This window comes from Homo sapiens, chromosome 3 (genome assembly GCF_000001405.40).
Source record: "Homo sapiens chromosome 3, GRCh38.p14 Primary Assembly".
Lineage (NCBI taxonomy): Eukaryota > Metazoa > Chordata > Mammalia > Primates > Hominidae > Homo > Homo sapiens.
In genome coordinates this window covers 46,553,799-46,570,947 of record NC_000003.12, presented here as the reverse complement: position 1 = coordinate 46,570,947, position 17,149 = coordinate 46,553,799, and the positions used below count along the sequence as shown (strand labels likewise).

The 17,149-nt window shown below is 44.3% G+C and overlaps 1 protein-coding gene and 1 long non-coding RNA gene across 2 annotated transcripts in view, besides 5 other annotated features; one reads left to right on the top strand and one right to left on the bottom strand.

Annotated features, from left to right (window-relative positions):
- Window positions 4,475-4,769: an enhancer, noted in NCBI's record as "tiled region #12028; HepG2 Activating non-DNase unmatched - State 4:PromP, and K562 Activating DNase matched - State 4:PromP". NCBI's record gives its function as "activates a minimal TATA promoter and a strong SV40 promoter by Sharpr-MPRA in HepG2 and K562 cells {active_cell/tissue: HepG2 | K562}" and the evidence as "EXISTENCE:reporter gene assay evidence [ECO:0000049][PMID:27701403]".
- Window positions 4,646-17,149, top strand: part of LRRC2 (leucine rich repeat containing 2) — a 50,918-nt gene continuing 38,414 nt past the window's right edge. The window contains exon 1 of the mRNA NM_024512.5: window positions 4,646-4,771. The gene's annotated coding sequence lies outside the window, so the exon portion shown is untranslated. The remainder of the gene's footprint in view (window positions 4,772-17,149) is intronic.
- Window positions 5,037-5,947: an enhancer, noted in NCBI's record as "H3K27ac-H3K4me1 hESC enhancer chr3:46606491-46607401 (GRCh37/hg19 assembly coordinates)". NCBI's record gives its function as "activates a minimal SCP1, AML or CMV promoter by ChIP-STARR-seq in primed H9 embryonic stem cells {active_cell/tissue: H9 hESC(primed)}" and the evidence as "EXISTENCE:reporter gene assay evidence [ECO:0000049][PMID:30033119]".
- Window positions 5,948-6,858: an enhancer, noted in NCBI's record as "H3K4me1 hESC enhancer chr3:46605580-46606490 (GRCh37/hg19 assembly coordinates)". NCBI's record gives its function as "activates a minimal SCP1, AML or CMV promoter by ChIP-STARR-seq in primed H9 embryonic stem cells {active_cell/tissue: H9 hESC(primed)}" and the evidence as "EXISTENCE:reporter gene assay evidence [ECO:0000049][PMID:30033119]".
- Window positions 7,530-8,031: an enhancer, noted in NCBI's record as "H3K4me1 hESC enhancer chr3:46604407-46604908 (GRCh37/hg19 assembly coordinates)". NCBI's record gives its function as "activates a minimal SCP1, AML or CMV promoter by ChIP-STARR-seq in naive H9 embryonic stem cells {active_cell/tissue: H9 hESC(naive)}" and the evidence as "EXISTENCE:reporter gene assay evidence [ECO:0000049][PMID:30033119]".
- LRRC2-AS1 (LRRC2 antisense RNA 1) lies at window positions 11,260-13,550 on the bottom strand. Its single transcript, NR_073385.1, has 3 exons — window positions 13,517-13,550; window positions 13,213-13,274; window positions 11,260-11,796 (listed from the first exon to the last, which is right to left on the bottom strand). It is a non-coding gene; the product is annotated as an LRRC2 antisense RNA 1 (long non-coding RNA).
- Window positions 13,656-14,257: an enhancer, noted in NCBI's record as "OCT4-NANOG-H3K27ac-H3K4me1 hESC enhancer chr3:46598181-46598782 (GRCh37/hg19 assembly coordinates)". NCBI's record gives its function as "activates a minimal SCP1, AML or CMV promoter by ChIP-STARR-seq in naive H9 embryonic stem cells {active_cell/tissue: H9 hESC(naive)}" and the evidence as "EXISTENCE:reporter gene assay evidence [ECO:0000049][PMID:30033119]".

Genomic DNA, 17,149 nt, shown 5'->3' with positions numbered 1-17,149 from the left:
TCACTATGTTGGACAGGCTGGTCTCGAACTCCGGACCTCAGGTGATCCACCTGACTCGGCCTTCCAAAGTGCTGGGATTACAGGCACGAACCACCACACCCAGCGCTACTTTGATTTTTAGATCCCACAAAGAAGTGAGAACATGGGATGTTTGTCTTTCAGTGCCTGGCTTATTTCACTTAACATAATCATCTCCAGTTCCATTCATGTCATTGCAAATGACTGGATCTCATTCTTTTTTATGGCTGAATAGTATTCCATTGTGTATATGTACCACATTTTCTTTATCCATTCATCTGCTGATGGACACTTAGGTTGCTTCCAAATCTTGGTTATTGTAAACAGTGCTGCAACAAACAGGAATGCAGATATCTCTTTGATATACTGATTTCCTTTCTTTTGTGTGTATACCCAGCAGTAGAATTCTGGCTCATATGGTAGCTCAATTTTTAGTTTTTTGAGGAATCTCCAAACTGTTCTCCATAGTGGTTGTACTAATTTACATTCCCTCTAACAGTGTACAAGGGTTCCCTTTCTCCACATCCTCACCAGCATTTGTTATTGCCTGTCTTTTGGATATAAGCCATTTTAACTGAGTTGAGATGATATCTTATTGTAGTTTTGATCTGCATTTCTCTGATGATCAGTGATGTTGAGCATCCTTTCATATGCCTGTGTGCCATTTGTATATCTTCTTTTGAGAAATCTATTCAAATCTTTTGCCCAGTTTTTTTGATCAGATTGTTAGATTTTTTTCCTATAGCGTTGAGCTCCTTATATATTCTCATTATTAATCTCTTATCAAATGGGTAGTTTGAAAATATTTTCTCCCTTTCTGTGGGTTGTCTCTTCACTTTGTTGATTTTATCCTTTGCTATGCAGAAGCTTTTTAACTTGATGTAATCCTATTTGTCCATTTTTGCTTTGGTTGCCTGTGTTTGTGGGGTATTTGTGTGGTTGTGGCCTGTGGTTATGGCATTGACCAGACCAAGGTCTTGGGGATTTTGCCCAATGTTTTCTTGTAGTAGTTTCATAGTTTGAAGTCTTAGATTTAAGTCTTTAATCCATTTTGATTTGATTTTTGTATGTGGTGAGAGATAGGGGTCTAGTTTCATTCTTTTGCATATGGATATCCTGTTTTCCCAGCACCTTTTATTGAAGAGACTGTTCTTTTCCCTAGCATATGTTCTTGGTTCCTTTGTCAAAAATGAGTTCACTGTAGGTGTGTGGATTTGTTTCTGGGTTCTCTATTCTGTTCCATGGTCTATGTGTCTGTTTTTATGCCAGTACCATGCTGTTTTGGTTACTATAGCTCTGTGGTATAATTTGAAGTCAGGTAATGTGATTTCTCCAGTTTTGTTATTTTGCTTAGGGTAGCTTTGGCTATTCTGGGTCTTCTGTGGTTTCATATAAATTTTAGAATTGTTTTTTCTATTTCTGTGAAAAATGTCCAGTATTTTGATAGGGACTGCGTTGAATCTGTAGATTGCTTAGGGTAGTGTGGACATTTTAGCAACATTGATTCTTCCAACACATGAACATGGAATGTTTTTCCATTTTTTGGTATTTTCTTCAATTTCCTTCATCAGCGTTTTATAGTTTTTATTATAGAGATCTTTCACTTCTTTGGTTAAGTTAATTCCTAGGTATTTAATTTTATGTGTGGTTATTGTACATGGGATTACTTTTTAAATTTCATTTTCATATTGTTCACTGTTGGCCTATAGAAATGCTACTGACTTTTTTTTTTTTTTTTTTTTTTTTTTAAGACAGGGTCTCTGTTTCCCAGGCTGGAGTGCAATGGCACAATCTCGGTTCACTGCAACTTCTGACTCCTGGGCTCAGATTATCCTCCTACCTCAGCCTCCCAAGTAGCTGGGACTACAGGTATATACCACCATGCCTGGTTAATTTTTGTATTTTTTTTTTTTTTGTAGAGATGGGGTTTTGCCATGTTGCTCAAGCTGGTCTCAAACTCCTAGGGTCCAGCAATCCACCTGCCATGGCCTCCCAAAGTGCTGGGATTACAGGTGTGAGCCACTGTGCCCAGCCTGCTACTGGTTTTTGTATGTTGATTTTGTTTCTTGCAACTTTACTGAATTTGTTTAGTTTATCAGTTCTAATAGTTTTCTTGTGGAATCTTTAGGTTTTTCCAAATATAAGACCATATCATTAGCAAACAGATAATTTAACTTCTTCCTTTCCAATTTGGATGCCCTTTATATCTTTCTCTTGTCTGATTGCTCTAGCTAGGACTTCCAGTTCTATGTTGAATAACAGTGGTGACAGTGGGCATCCTTGCTGTGTTCCAGATATTAGAAGAAGGGCTTTCAGTTTTTCCCCATTCAGTAAGGATACTAGCTGTGGATCTGTCATATATGGCTTTTATTATGTTGAGGTATGTTCCTTCAAAACTCAGTTTTTTTGAGGGTTTTTATCATAAAGGAATGTTGAATTTTATCCAGTGCTTTTTCAGCATCAGTTAAAATGATCATATGATTTTTATCCTTTATTCTGTTAATCTGATGTATTGTGTCAATTGATTTGTGTATGTTGAACTATCCTTGTATCCCAGGCATAAATTCCACTTGGTCATGGTGAATGATCTTTCTAATGTAGTGCTGAATTCGGCTTGCCAGTATTTTTGTTGAAGATTTTTGCATCAATATTCATCAGAGATGAATTTTGACCTGTAGTTTTCTTTTTTTTTGATGTGTCTTTCTCTGGTTTTGGTATCAGGGTAATACTGGCCTATAAAATGAGTTTGCAAGTATCCCTTCCTCCTCTATTTTCTGGAATAGTTTGGGTAGGATTGGTATTAGCTCTTCTTTAAATGTTTGGTAGAATTCAGCAGTGAAGCCATCAGGTTCTGGGCATTTTTTTACTGGGAGACTTTTTATTACAGCCTTGATCTTGTTACTTGTTATTGGTCTGTTCAGGTTTTGAATTTCTTCCTGATTCAATCTTTGTAGGTTGTATGTACCTAGAAGTTTGTTCATTTCTTCTAGACTTTCCAATTTATTGGCATACAGTTGCTCAATGAGTGGATTTTTAAAAGTAAAAGAAGGAGACAGAGAGGGATTGATATAAAGTTATTTGTTATGAATTTTCATTGGTTTACAGAAATAACATTGATAAGTGATTGGCTATATATCCTTTAGCTATAGGGTGTGGTTATAGTGTCTGGCGTGTTGCTATTAGGCTAATTTACAGCTACTTGTGACAATAGCAAGTAATTTCAAGAGATGAAGACATATAGCTCAAAGAGGGGAGTAGGGCATGAGTGCAGTTTCATTTTAATGTCTCCTTGGGCCTGATAATGAAAAAAACTTGCATTTCTCAGATAAAAGTCCTTTTTTTTTTGAGACAGAATTTCGCTCTTGTTGCTCAGGCTGGAGTGCAATGGTGCGATCTCGGCTCACTGCAACCTCGGCCTCCCGGGTTCAAGCAATTCTCCTGCCTCAGCCTCCCCAGTAGCTGGGATTGCAGGCGCCTGCCACTACGCCCAGCTAATTTTATATTTTTAGTAGAGACGGGGTTTCTCCCTGTTGGCCAGGCTGGTCTCAAACTCCCGACCTCAGGTGATCCACCTGCCTCGGCCTCCCAAAGTGCTGGGATTACAGGCGTGAGCCACCGTGCCCCACCAAAAAGCATTATTTTCAAAAGGCCAGGCACGGTGGCTCATGCCTGTAATTCCAGCACTTTGGGAGGCCGAGGTGGGCGGGTCACCTGAGGTCAGGAATTCTAGACCAGCCTGGCCAACATGGTGAAACCCCATCTCTACAAAAATACAAAAATTAGCCGCGCGTGGTGGCAGGCGCCTGTAATCCCAGCTACTGGGGAGGCTGAGGCAGGAGGATCGCTTGAACCCGGGAGGCGCAGGTTGCAGTGAGCCGAGATCACACCACTGCACTCCAGCGTGGGCGACAGTGAGACTCCTCTCAAAAAAAAAAAAAAAAAAAGAAAAGAAAAGAAAATAATGATTTTTAAGGAAATGAATTTTAGAAGTATGACACATATATCACACAAAAGGTATTTTTCAGTTTAGGCTAAGGGATATGAGGAGCCATTGCCATTAAGGATCAGGACGTGTTCACATGGACTCCTGGGAGCAGCCAGGGAGTTGATTACTGATTATTAACTTGTCATATTTTCACGATGTCGGCTATCAGCAAAACATATTTGGCCAATTAGTAAAGTATCTAAAGAGAACCTAAACTCACATACATTTTAGGATATTAAAAAGATAAAATGTAACGGTGAAATTGAGACCTTCGATGTCTGCTGCTTCCAACATCGAAAACACTTTTACATTCCCTTGGTCATATGGCTTTCAAAGCCTGCGTCTGGCTGGGTTCCCAGCTTAGCGTGCTGAGCACTCGGAACCAGCTCCCTTCCATTCCACACCCTCCGGGATCTCCAGTGTGAAAATGTCTGGCCCTGGGTAGGAGGCTGCAGATAGTCCCTGGGCCGGGGCTCGCGCTGGCCGGCTGCAGCGCGCAGGGTGCCAAGCCCTCCCCTACGAAGTCTGTTTTGTCTCAGGCTGGGCTGAGTCACATAGAATAGATAGATAGTTGATTTAGCACATGTCCTCCAGATCATATTATCCGCCTACAAATATAGCCTGTTAGCGCACAGGCACGGGAGGCTTCTTCCGGCTCGGCCGTGCTGCTCAGCGGGTGTAAACAGCCTCTGCGGTGTAAACAGCCTCTGCGGTGTAAACAGCCGCGGCGGGCAGGCCAGGACTGTCAGTGCCCGCCCCTCGGGGCAGGTAAGCGCTGGGCGTCCGAGGTGGCCGGGGGGCGGGAGCGGGGGCCTTGCGCTCCCCGTGGGAGGACGCGGGCGGATGGCCGGTGCCCCGGGCGCTCAGTTGTTTAATCCTTCCTCTGTGCCTTGGTGACCTGCAATCTGCCGGAGCGACAGGGGTAAACGTCCCTAACCGGACAGCGGCTGGGGCTTAGGCATCCACCGTTATCTGAGGTCCAGGACTATGGTGGGAAGGCGAGAAAGGAGAGAGCGTGGGGAGGCAGGGGTCCCCGCGAGTGAATCTTGCTCCGGCTTAGCAGTTCCCCTGCGCGTACTGCTCCGGCGCCCAAGGCTGAGCCCAAAGCTTTCTGGTCCAAAGCGCTGTCCAGGGGAGATAAATCAACTTTGTTTGTGTCCTGAATGGTATGATTGACACATGGCCCTGGCGGGGAAGTCTTTTCTTCCAGCGTCTCACGCCCCCTGGCTTGGGGTGGGGACAGGCCTGAGGCAAGGGCGGAAAGTGACTGGAGACCCAGAGGAGGAGGAATTGTCTGGCTTGTTAGCGGCTCTGCCCTGTTGCTAGCTCTTCTGCTGGACCAAACCCTCTCCCAGAACTCAGGGACTGGGGGGTTCACCCATTATTCACCCAAAGAACCTCTGCTAATCATGCCAGGTGGAGGAAAAACCCTCGGATGCTCACATACCTCTTGTTTTTGTCTTACATTTAATTGGTGACAGGGATTCTTAGTTTCCTTTCTTTTTTCTTTAAATGATTGAACTTTTTTTTGATCTTGCTAGGTGCCAGGTACTGTCTTAAGCTCTTGACACAATGATCCTATGTGATGTTCTCGCCAACCTGTGAGCTCAGTGCTGTTTGCTCCATCACGTCCACATGAGAACATCAGGCTCAGAGAGGTTAGGCTGTGTTCTCAGGGACATGTGGCCAGAGAGTGGGTAGGCAGGGCTCCCGCCCAGGCAGCTTGGCCTTGGAATTGCCCTCTTAATCCCGTCTGGACCCTCTGCCTCCCCTGGCTGGATTTTCTAGCTAAACAAATTACAATAAAATTAATCAGAAGTCCCCAGGGAAACTCTGATCATGTGGCATAAATGTCATTTAATTCAGAATTTGGCTGACTATACTGACCTTACTTGACTATTTAGCTCCTATTTACCCCCGTTTCTATCAGAAAACTCACTGCGTTCATTCCAACGCTGGTGTCCAGGCAGTGGCCTTATGTGAGGATAGAATGGAATTTGTGAGTCACCAAAGCTCCTTGGTTGTCATATTATTGCCCATTGTATCTTGGTGCCCCCAGAAATTCCCATGGGTTACAGTGGTTCTCTTGGATACAGCAAGGCTGATGATAGAGGTTTTCCTTACATTGATGACACGCCTGGAAGGGTGCTGTGGAGGGCTTGGAGCTGGGCAGCCTGGGGTGGAGGGGTCCTGGGAGTTCTGAGGGGCAGGTGTGGAGGAGAGAGCCTCTCTCTGCATGGCTGGTTAAGGTGACCTCTGGCATCAGCTCCGTCCTCCTCTCCTGCTCCATCCCTTGCTCCTGTCCCCCTCCCAGCCTCCCAGTGGGAGTGCCAAGAATGGCTTGGCACCTGCATGATGAGGTGAGTCTCCTCCCAGACTTTGTTGAGTCTCCTCCCAAACTCCCCCAGATCCTTCTTAGGATGCTCTGAGAGGTTAACCCTGCACCCACTCCACACCTCCTACCTAGCAACCCAGTGTAATTTGACAAGAAGGGAGAGGACTAGGTGACCGGAAAACCCCCCCTCCCCCTGGCATATGACTTCTGAGTGGAGACTAGTGCCCTGGTGCCAGGGGACATGTTTTTCCAGTCATGCCCTCTGGCTCTGTAAAGTGGATGGCTCTGTAAAGTGGATGGCTCTGTAAAGTGGTTCTGATATAACTGGGTTGGGGAGGAGGGTGTGGAAAGTTATTCAGCCAAACCTGCCCTGTCAGCCCTTTCCCCTTCCTCAAGGTCCCTGCAGGACTCTCCCAACCCCTCCCCCACCCTTTCTCTTTTGGCTTCTACAGGGGTTGGTTCAGCCTCTGTTGTCTAATGAACGTGCTGTGCTCAAATATATCCTTTGATGCTCTCCCCTCTAGATTGGGAACTTGGAGTCATGGACAAGGCTTCTGTCTTTCTGCATTTAATGAATGTCCATAAATGTCACTTAGGGTTCCTAGGCATTGAAAAACAGAAATACAAACTAAGTACACTGGCTCAGTACACACGGTTTCTGTGTTGAGGTTCAGAAGCAGGAGACTGGCATCTGTAGCCCTTGGACTACTCAAAACCCCCTCATTTGATGGCCATAGCACACCTCTGTCTGCAGGGGCTTGGACAAGGTGATGGAGAGGCCCCACCAGTTCCCATCGTATGCTACAGTATGACCTGCTCAGCTGAACTCATGGGGGCCGGTGTGTGAACCCAAGTCTGGGGACTCCCAAGTGGCTGCTCCTGTCAGTAAACTGTGGCTCGTCTATGGCTTGGTCCATGGACAGACAAAATATAATGAATCAAATACTTTAACTTGCATGAAGTATTGTGATGCAAATAAACAGTAGACTGAGAAATAAAATAACAGGCGGGTTTACTTTAGATGAGGAGGCTGGGAAGGCCAGACAGGAGAAAACATTTAAGGTGGGTTCCAGGGGTGTGGGGAGGAAGCCATGTGACTTGGGGAGGAATGCTCTAGGCTGAGGGAGCAGTGTGTGCTGAGCTCTGAGGGGGAAGAGGCGTGGGGTGGATAAGCACAGAGGAGGGGAGCAGGAGGGGTGAGGTGGGATGGGCAGGCCGAGGGCAGACCATGCCAGGGGCTCACTGCCTCTGTGGAAAGCTGGGATCTCATTCTCATTTCAAAGGCAGGCCTTGGGGAGATTTGTGCCAGGTGGTGGCATGATCTAGTTCTCATTGGAAAGTGACTCTCACTATTGAGTAGAAGATGGGGTTGAGTGGGAAGCCAGGAGACCAATTAGGGGGCCTTTCCCCAACTGAGGCAAGGCGTGACACTAGTTGGTGGTGAGAAATGCATGCCCTCTAAGATGTAGGTGATAACTGGAGGTGTGGATGAATGTGTGTGTGTGTGCATGCATGTGTGTGTGTGCATACTATCTGCATAGTGGGTGGGCAGAGTGAGGAAACGAAGCAAAAGAAGTGACTTCTGGCCGAGTACAGTGGCTCATACCTGTAATCTCAGCACTTTGGGATGCCGAGGCGGGCAGATCACCTGAGGTCAGGAGTTTGAGACTAGCCTGGTCAACATGGTGAAACCCTATCTCTACTAAAAATACAAAAATTAGCCGGATATGGTGGCTTTTGCCTGTAATCCCAGCTACTCAGGAGGCTGAGGAAGAATTGCTTGAACCCAGGAAGTGAAGTTTGCAGTGAGCTGAGATTGTGCCACTGCACTCCAGCCTGGGTGACAGAGTGAGACTTCATCTCAAAAAAAAAAAAAAAGAAGTAACTTCTAGATCTTCTAGATTATGATGGAGTCATTCCTGAGGTGTGGAATTAAAGGAGGCCTAGGATGGACAAACTCTAAAGGAGCAAGTTTGGAGAACATCATGTTTCTTTGAGATATGTGTGAGACATCCAAGTGCATATTCAAGGAGGCAGCTGAACATGCACACCAGATGGCACCAGAAGTTAAGACTGATTTTTAAAGTGTCTTTTATAAAAATCCACTGTCTTGGTTATTTATTGCTGCATAACAGTTTATTCTAGACTGTTAGTTTAGAATAACACACATTTATTATCTCACAGTTTCTGAGAGTCAGAAATCCAGGGCAGTTTAGCTGAGTGTTTCTGGCTTAGGGTCTCATGAAGTTGTGGTCAAGATGTCCACAGGGGCTGCCGTCATCTGAAGGCTTGACTGGGGATGGAGGATCTGCTTTTAAGACAGCCCCCTCTCATGGCTGTTGACAGGAGGCCTCAGTTCCTCTCCTTGTGAAGCTTTTCCACAAGGCTGCTTGAGCATCATCATGACATGGCAGCTGACTTCCTAGAGTGAGTGATCTGACAGAGAGTGAAGACCTAGTCTCAGAAGCCACACACCATTACTTTCACCACATTCTAGTCATTAGAAGTGAGTCACTAAGTCTAGCCCATGCTCAAGGGGGGAGGAATTAAGTTCTACCTTTTTAAAGGGAAGAATGTGAAAGACTTTGTGGATATAGTTTAAAACCATCACATCCACCAAAGCAAAATATTTTACATTTTATTGTCCACTAAAGCTAGGATCAGTAAACTATAACCTGCAGGCCTGGCACCTGTTTACATATGGAATGTGGGCACTGCTGGAGCATCTGGGGACCAAGCTGGGGTATTTTCTTCTGTTTCTACTCCCCCACTGCTCTCAGCTCCTGTCCACCTGGCCAGCTGTACCTTGCTGCAGTCCAGGGCCCACCCTGGTTGCCATCTACACATTGGAGACTCTATTGTTAGCAACCAAGCAATGGAATCTCAGTTCAGGAGCTGGTGACTGAGTAGGTCACCTTGCTTCCAGCCAGCTATCCAACTTGTGATGACGGGAGGAGAGAAGGACACACAGGCACCTGTCTGGGTGATACTGGGGCAGAGAAAGAAATGGACTGCAGCAGGCTCACTCCCCGGCCCCTTCCCCTGCCAACCTCTCCCCTCTCTTTTTGTTTTTTTGAGACCCAGGCTGGAGTGCACTGATGCAATCTCAGCTCACTGCAACATCTGCCTCCCAGGCCCAAGTGATCCTCTCACATCAACCTCCTTAGTAGCTGGGACCACAGATGCATGCCACCACCCAGCTATTTTATTTATTCATTTTATTTTTTATTTTTGGTAAAGACAGGGTTTTGCCATGTTGCCCAGGCTGCTCTCAAACTCCTGAGCTTAAGCAATCCACCCACCTCAGCCTCCCAAAGTGCTGTGATTACAGGTGGGAGCCACTGCACCCAGCCACCCTGCCCCTTTTTCACCATACCTACTAGCCCTTTCCCTCTTGGGCTAGTCCCTCTTGTTCTGAGAATGTTTTTGGCAAGCAGCAGCTGGACATGAAACATGCTAACTACTCCGGATGGTTCTCTGGGGGCAAGCAGGGAGAGGCTCGCCAGAGGGTTCTCCTTTGTTATGTAAACGCCTACATATATCTTCAATTTTGCTTATTGGCCTGGGAAACCTCTATTATTTACCATCAAGTTTTCTCAGCCCTGTACTAAAACAAAAGATTTTCCAGGCATTATTTTCCTTAATCTAACCTTTGAGAGTGTGCTGATGGTTAACATTTTCACTCAGGAGCTGGAACACTAAGTGTCTGGGAGTCCTTGGACTGGAGAGGAACATGGCTGATGACACTTTGTGGCCCCAGTGTTCTTTCCTTTACAGTGAGAGATGCCACCGTTCTCCTTCTGTCTCATCATTGCAGGTGTTTTCTTCTCTGGAAGATGCTCTGTGACTGTGGACAGTGTAGCCCAAATTGAGGGAGGCTTGTTCTCATAATTCTGCTACAACCACACAAAACCAGACCCACAGCAGGGAACCGGAATCAGATGCTGTCTTGGAACCATGACACTTTGCTGTCAAATTCAACGAGGGTCCAGGCTGAAGCTTTACACTTAGGCTGCTTTGTAGAATCTACTTCGTTGTAAAGTTTCCTATAAGAGGATATTGCTTTGTTTGTATTGAGGGTCTCTTGACTGGATCCCGTAGAGGTTAATTTTTCCCTTTTCTGTGTTGGGGTAGCATATGATGATGATGACATTTCTATAGTCCTAAAGAAAGTTAATGCTTAGGACATTGCATTCTATGTCTTTGCCTGAAAGATTGTGTTGACTAGAGTTTATTTTACAAAGAAGAGATTAGCTTTGTAAATTTGTGAGGAGATCTCTCCCCTGAGCTGCTGAGGGACTGGCACCTGTGTCTGTCCCTGACAACTGTGTCCTATGGGCTCCCCAGTGTGGTTTCTCCCCTGGATGGAGGGTCTCCTCCTTACCCTGGACTGACACATGGACTCTCATTTGAACTACTTTCTCAGTCTCAGAACCCACCCATGAACTACTACCTTCTAGGTTAAGGTAAAATTTGTCCAGTTGTCTAGAGAGGTCTGGACTTATCTCTGTCCTACATGGGATGCCAAGGGCTGGGCTGGACCTGGCACTTAGGATCTTGTATGTCATAGCTTCCCAGCACCTCTGGACATCACATGTAAATCTCTAGCAAATGTGGTCATCACCTACTGTTCTTAGTCTCCAGTTTTCATTATACATGTTGCAAACAAAACTTCGCAAGATGCTGATTTACATCCTGGCACATTCAACGCCCCCTTAATTGTATAAGAGAACTTCTTTTCCTGCTTTTTAAAAACACAGGGAAAATGGTGAACATGGTTAGATGACAGACAGAATATGCTCTTTCCCACCAAAATACTGAGAGTAGTAATGACTTATAACTACTTAAAAATATGTCAGGGCCTTTGGTAATTAAATTTCATAATTCCAGGAATTTATCAAAGATGATTAAGCCATTTTTTGTTGACATGATCAAATATTTAGAACACAAAGACATTAAGAAGAGACCATTCCTCTAAGATGGGAACTAGAATTACATTTCTCTAAGTTAATACATAGAAATTCATAAGCAATGATTTTAAAAATGTAGGGGCAGTTAATGTACAGCTCTGGCTACTAGCCAAGGGCTAACTGGCCTGAGGAAATGAAAGAACCTCAACAACAGAGTCTGTGATGTGTCTGGTTGATCTAGAGAACACGAGCCCTGTGTGTAGGGAGTAATTCTTCCAGCTTCAGTTACTGTGGCTGGCTGGGCTGCCCACACTGCTCAAATACAGTTAACTTTACTTTGGCTTTTTGGTTTATGTGTAGACTTGGGATCTGTGCACAGATTTCCTCAAAAAAACTAGGCTGACTGATTCTCTTATTAATGTTTCTTCACCACTGGCTGTGGACTTTGATCTTTATTTTCAGGATGATGCGTAGCGTTCCTTTATGGAGACTTTTAAGTCGAAAGCCAAAGCCTTAATTAAGATCTTTGCAGGTTAGATACTCCTGAGCTGAAGATAACAGAGTAAGAAAAGTGGTAAAAGAAAAATTAAATGCACTTCTTTTACCTATCATTTTTATGGTAGACATTTGAAATTTACCCTTTCAGTGATTTTGAAATATGCAATACTTTATTATTGACTATAGTCGCCCTGCTATGCAATAGATTTCAAAACATTCCTCCTACCTATCTGAAACTTTGTACCCTTTGACCAGTAACTGCCCATTCCCTTCCTCCCCGGCCCCAATCTCTTTCTACACTCTACTTCTACGAGTTCAACTTTGTTAGATTTCACATAAAGTGGGACATGCAGAGAACCTTCCTTTTCTGATTGGAGGAGCTATAGCCCAAAAGAGTGGAGCAAACCGTCACGCTTTCTTACTTTCTTAAATCTTCGCTGCTTGGCCGCGACTGTGGGTGCAGTTGTAGGAAGTGCACGGCAGAGCAGGGTAACTACAACACCAAGTTTTTGGCCAGAGGCCCGAAAAAGGGAGCCCAGCGATCAGGAAAGGACCAGGGAGATCACAGAGAGGGAGGAATTTGGAGGAAACAGCTCCGTAAGTTTGTTCCTGGGCTCCTCCCCTAGCTGCGCATGCGTGGATCTGACCCTAACCAGCACTCCAAAGAAGTTAGACCTGGACACTGGAATAGACCTTCAGCCACGCCGTAGACGGGCCACTGGGTGGTGCACACGGAACATAGCTGAATAGCACCACGAAGACTGAAAACAGACCTGACATGGGGATCACACCCCACAGAAGGCAGGTTGGAATTTGAGGTCAGAACTCAACCAAATTGGTTACCCACGGTGTCAGTTATCAACTTACTGCTTCTCAGCTTTGAATGCGCCACTCAATAAATATACCCTGTGTTATACAATGGCATTCCTTTAAATATTGGCCCTTTAAAGTGAGCGCAGTGCTGTGCTTTCTCAGTAGAAGGCACTGGAGGGGCAAGGTAGTAGGAAGAGGCTTCCTGCCTTTTTTTTGGCGTGGGCTGGGGATCAGCAGTGTGCATGTGAGAATATCCATCGGAATCTGCCCCAAGCATGGGCTCAGAACAGTCCCTTTGCGACTTTGCATCCTTGGCCTTGCAGTCACCTTTCTACAGCTCTCTTGAGCCAGAACACAGAGCCCTTGTGCAGCCCACGTGCTCTGAAGAACTCCTGCCTGTGCTTGTATTTCGACTTTCTTCACAAGCCTGCATATTACCTGCACACAGCTGCCTGTGCCCCTGAGGGTCACATGCCAACCTGCGATGCCTTCTGCAAGTGCCTGTGTGGTCCACACACTCTGAAGGCCATCTGGACTTCCATCACATGCCCATGCCACCAGTTGCTGATTGGCCATCCCTACCTGCACTTGAGGGGTTCTCCTATTAGTTACCCAGCAACTCCAGACTAGCCTGCCCAAACCAGAGGACTTACCTGCTATCTGATGGGCTGAACCCCTTCCAAGTTGGCCCTTCCTTGGATGTGCTCCCTCAGCCCTGGGGTATGAATGGAAAGATAGAAAAATATCAACAAAGAAACAGAAGATATAAAGAACTAATTGGAAATTTTAGAAATAAAAAGACAATAATTGAAATAAAATACTGGATAGGCTCACAAACGTAATGGAGATGGCATAGGGAAGAGCTAGGAAACTTGAAGTAGATTACTGGGTTTCATGCGCATCTGTGTGAAGAGACCACCAAACAGGCTTTGTGTGAGCAATAAAGCTTTTAATCACCTGGGTGTAGGCAGGCTGAGTCCGAAAACAGTCAGCGAAGGGAGATAGGGATGAGGCCGTTTTATAAGATTTGGGTAGGTAAAGGAAAATTACAGTCAAAGGGGGTTTGTTCTCTGGCAGGCAGGAGTGGGGGTCGCAAGGTGCTCAGTGGGGGAGTTTTTGAGCCAGGATGAGCCAGGAAAAGGGACTTCCACAAGGTAATGTCATCACTTAAGGCAAGGACCGGCCATTTACACTTCTTTTGTGGTGGAATGTCATCAGTTAAGGCGGGGCAGGGCATTTTCACTTCTTTTGTGATTCTTCAGTTACTTCAGGCCATCTTGGCATATACGTGCAAGTCACAGGGGATTCGATGGCTTGGCTTGGGCTCAGAGGCCTGACACTGGGCATTACCAATCTGAAACAAAAAATAGAAGAGAAGATTTATCTGAAATGAACAAGCCCTCAAGAATCTATGGAACAATACTGAAAAGTCTAATATTTGTGTCATCAGAATTCCAGAAGGAGAGGAGGAAGAGTGTAATGCAGAAAAAATGTTCAAGAACTAATGGCTGGGGCTGGGCGCGATGGCTCACGCCTGTAATCCTAGCACTTTGGGAGGCTGAGGCGGGTGAATCACAAGGTCAGAAATTCGAGACCAACCTGATCAACATGGTGAAACCCTGTCTCTACTAAAAATACAAAAATTAGCCGGGCGTGGTGGCACGTGCCTGTAATTCCAGCTACTCGGGAGGCTGAGGCAGGAGAATTGCTTGAACCCGGGAGGCTGAGGTTGCAGTTATTGGAGATCACGCCGCTGCACTCCAGCTTGGGCGACAGAGCGAGACTCTGTCTCAAAAAAAAAAAAAAAAAAAAGAAATAATGACTGAAAAATCCCCAAATTTGTCAAAAGATATAAACCAAGTGATTAAAAAAGCTAAACAAATCTAAATCAGGATAATCCCACCCAAAATCCATGCCCAGATATAATAATTAACCTGAAGAAACCCAAAGACGAAAAAATTTTTCCAGGTGCGGTGGCTCATGCCTGTCATCCCAGCATTTTGGGAGGTTGAGGTGGGAGAATCACTTGTGCCCAGGAGTTTGAGACCAGCCTGGGCAACATAGTGAGACCTTATCGCTGCAAAAATATTTTTTTAAAAAAATTAGCCAGATATGGTGGTGCATCCCTGTGTTTCCAGCTACTTGAGAGGCTGAGATGGGAGGATTGTTTGAGCCTAGGAGGTTGAGGCTGCAGTGAGTTGTGATGGCATCACTGCACTCCAGCCTGGGTGACAGAGTGAGATCTTGTCTTTGGAAGGGGGAAAGAAAAAAAAAAAAGAAAGTAGCAAGAGAAAAATGATGCATCTCCTATAGGAAAGTGTGATTCAAATTATTTCAGATTTCTAATCAGAAACTATGGATGCCAAAAGAAAGTGGCACAACATTCTAAGGGTGCTGATTAATAAAAAAGAAAAGATTGCTTTCAAATTCTATATCCAGCAAAAATAGTATTTATGAATGGAGGTAAGAAAAAGACATCCTCAGTTGAAGGAAACCAGAATATGTCAGTATATTTTCTCTAAAATAATTGTTAAGGCAAGTTTTTAGATAGAAGGGAAATGATAACAGATGTAAACTTGAACAGCAGGAAGGAAGGAACAGGAACATATAAATATCAAGATAAATATAATGGACCAGTTTTCTCCTCAGGAGTTCTTTAAATTTGATGATTGGAAGCCAAAAATATAACATTGATTGACATAATACATAAGACAACTGCAACATAAAGGTGGGAATGTAGGAGGACCTATATGGTGGTAAGATTTTTACATCTCACTTGAAGTGGTAACATACTGTTTCTAAGTGGACTATGAAAAAGTAAGTATGTATAATAATTCTTAGGGCAACCATAAAACAAGAGAAAAAAACTACCCAAAGAGACATAGTAAAATATATAATAGAGAAACTAAAATGGAATTCTAAAAAATGTTCAGAGAAAAGAAGGCAGGAAAGTGTAAAATAGGAAAACAAAAGAGGGATCAAATAGAAAAAAAGTAATAAAATTACAGATTTAAATCCAAATATACAAGTAAGTGTATTAAATATAAATGGCATACATACATCAATTAAAAGATAGAGATAGTCAGAATTGGTTAAATAAATGATCCAGCAATAGTCTGTCTACAAAATCTCACATCAACTATAAGCATATAGTTAGGATAATATAAAATGATGGAATCAAGAAAGTGAAAAGCAACTCACAAAATGGAAGAAATTTTTTGCAAATTATATACCTGGTAAAGGACCTGTATCTAGAATATATAAAGTACTATTGCAACTTAACGATAAATAAAAAGACCAATTAACCCAATTAAAAAAGGGGAAAGGATCTGAATAGACATTTCTCCAAAGAAGATCTATAAATGCCTAACAAGCATATGAAAATATGCTCAACATCATTAGTCATCAGGAAAATGCAAATCAAAACAACAAGATACCTCTTCACACCTACTAGGATGGCTATAATAAAAAAGACAGTTAATAACAAGTGTTGGTGAGGATGTGGAGAGACAGGAATCTTCATACACTGCTGGTGGGAATGTAAAATGATGTAGCTGCTTTGGAAAACAGTCTGACAGTTCACAGAAAGGTTAACTATAGAGTTATCATATAATCTAACAATTCTCCTTTATATTTACCAAGGATAAGACAACAAATGTACACACAAAAACTTGTGCATCATTTTAACTTTTGTCAAAAATCTCCTTTAGGTAAAACAATTCTTCTTCTTCTTTTTTTTTTTTTTTTAAGACAGAGTCTTGCTCTGTCTCCCAGACTGGAGTGCGCTGGTACGATCTCGGCTCACTGCAACCTCCGCCTCCCAGGTTCAAGCAATTCTGCCTCAGCCTCCCGAGTAGCTGGGACTACAGGTGTGCACCACCATGCCCGGCTAATTTTTGTAATTTTTAGTAGAGATGGGGTTTCACCATATTGGCCAGGGTGGTCTGGAATTCCTGACCTCATGATCTGCCCACCTCTGCCTCCCAAAGTACTGGGATTACAGGCATGAGCCACTGCACCTGGCCTCCTTTAGGTAAAACAATTCTAAAGGAGGCAAAGGCAGTCTCAGGCTGGGCAGACTGTCTCATGCCGATAATCCCAGCACTTTGGGAGGCCTAGGTGGGTGGATTGCTTGAGCCCAGGAGTTTGAGACCAGTCTGGGCAACATAGTGGGACCACCATCTCTACAAAAAATACAAAAATTATCTGGGCATAGTGGCGCATGTCTGTAGTCCCAGCTACTTGGGAGGTGGAGGTAGGAGGAATGCTTGAGCCTGGGAGGTTGAGGCTGCAGTGAACCATGATGGTGTCACTGCATTCTAGCCTGGGCAACAGAGTGAGACCCTGTCTCAGGAAAAAAAACAACAAAAAAACAACAACAACAACCAATGAAACAACAACAACAACAACAAACAAAGGCAGTCTCAGACATCAGAAATCAAAGGAAAGAAGGGAATAAATTAGGTCAGCATTGTCAGCTCTTTAGAGTAAAATTATATACGTTCATATTTTCAGCTGCACAAACATAAGCCAGTTCTCCCATTCTTATTGGCAAGCCATTTATAGGGAGCACATTCTTGAGTCAGAAGA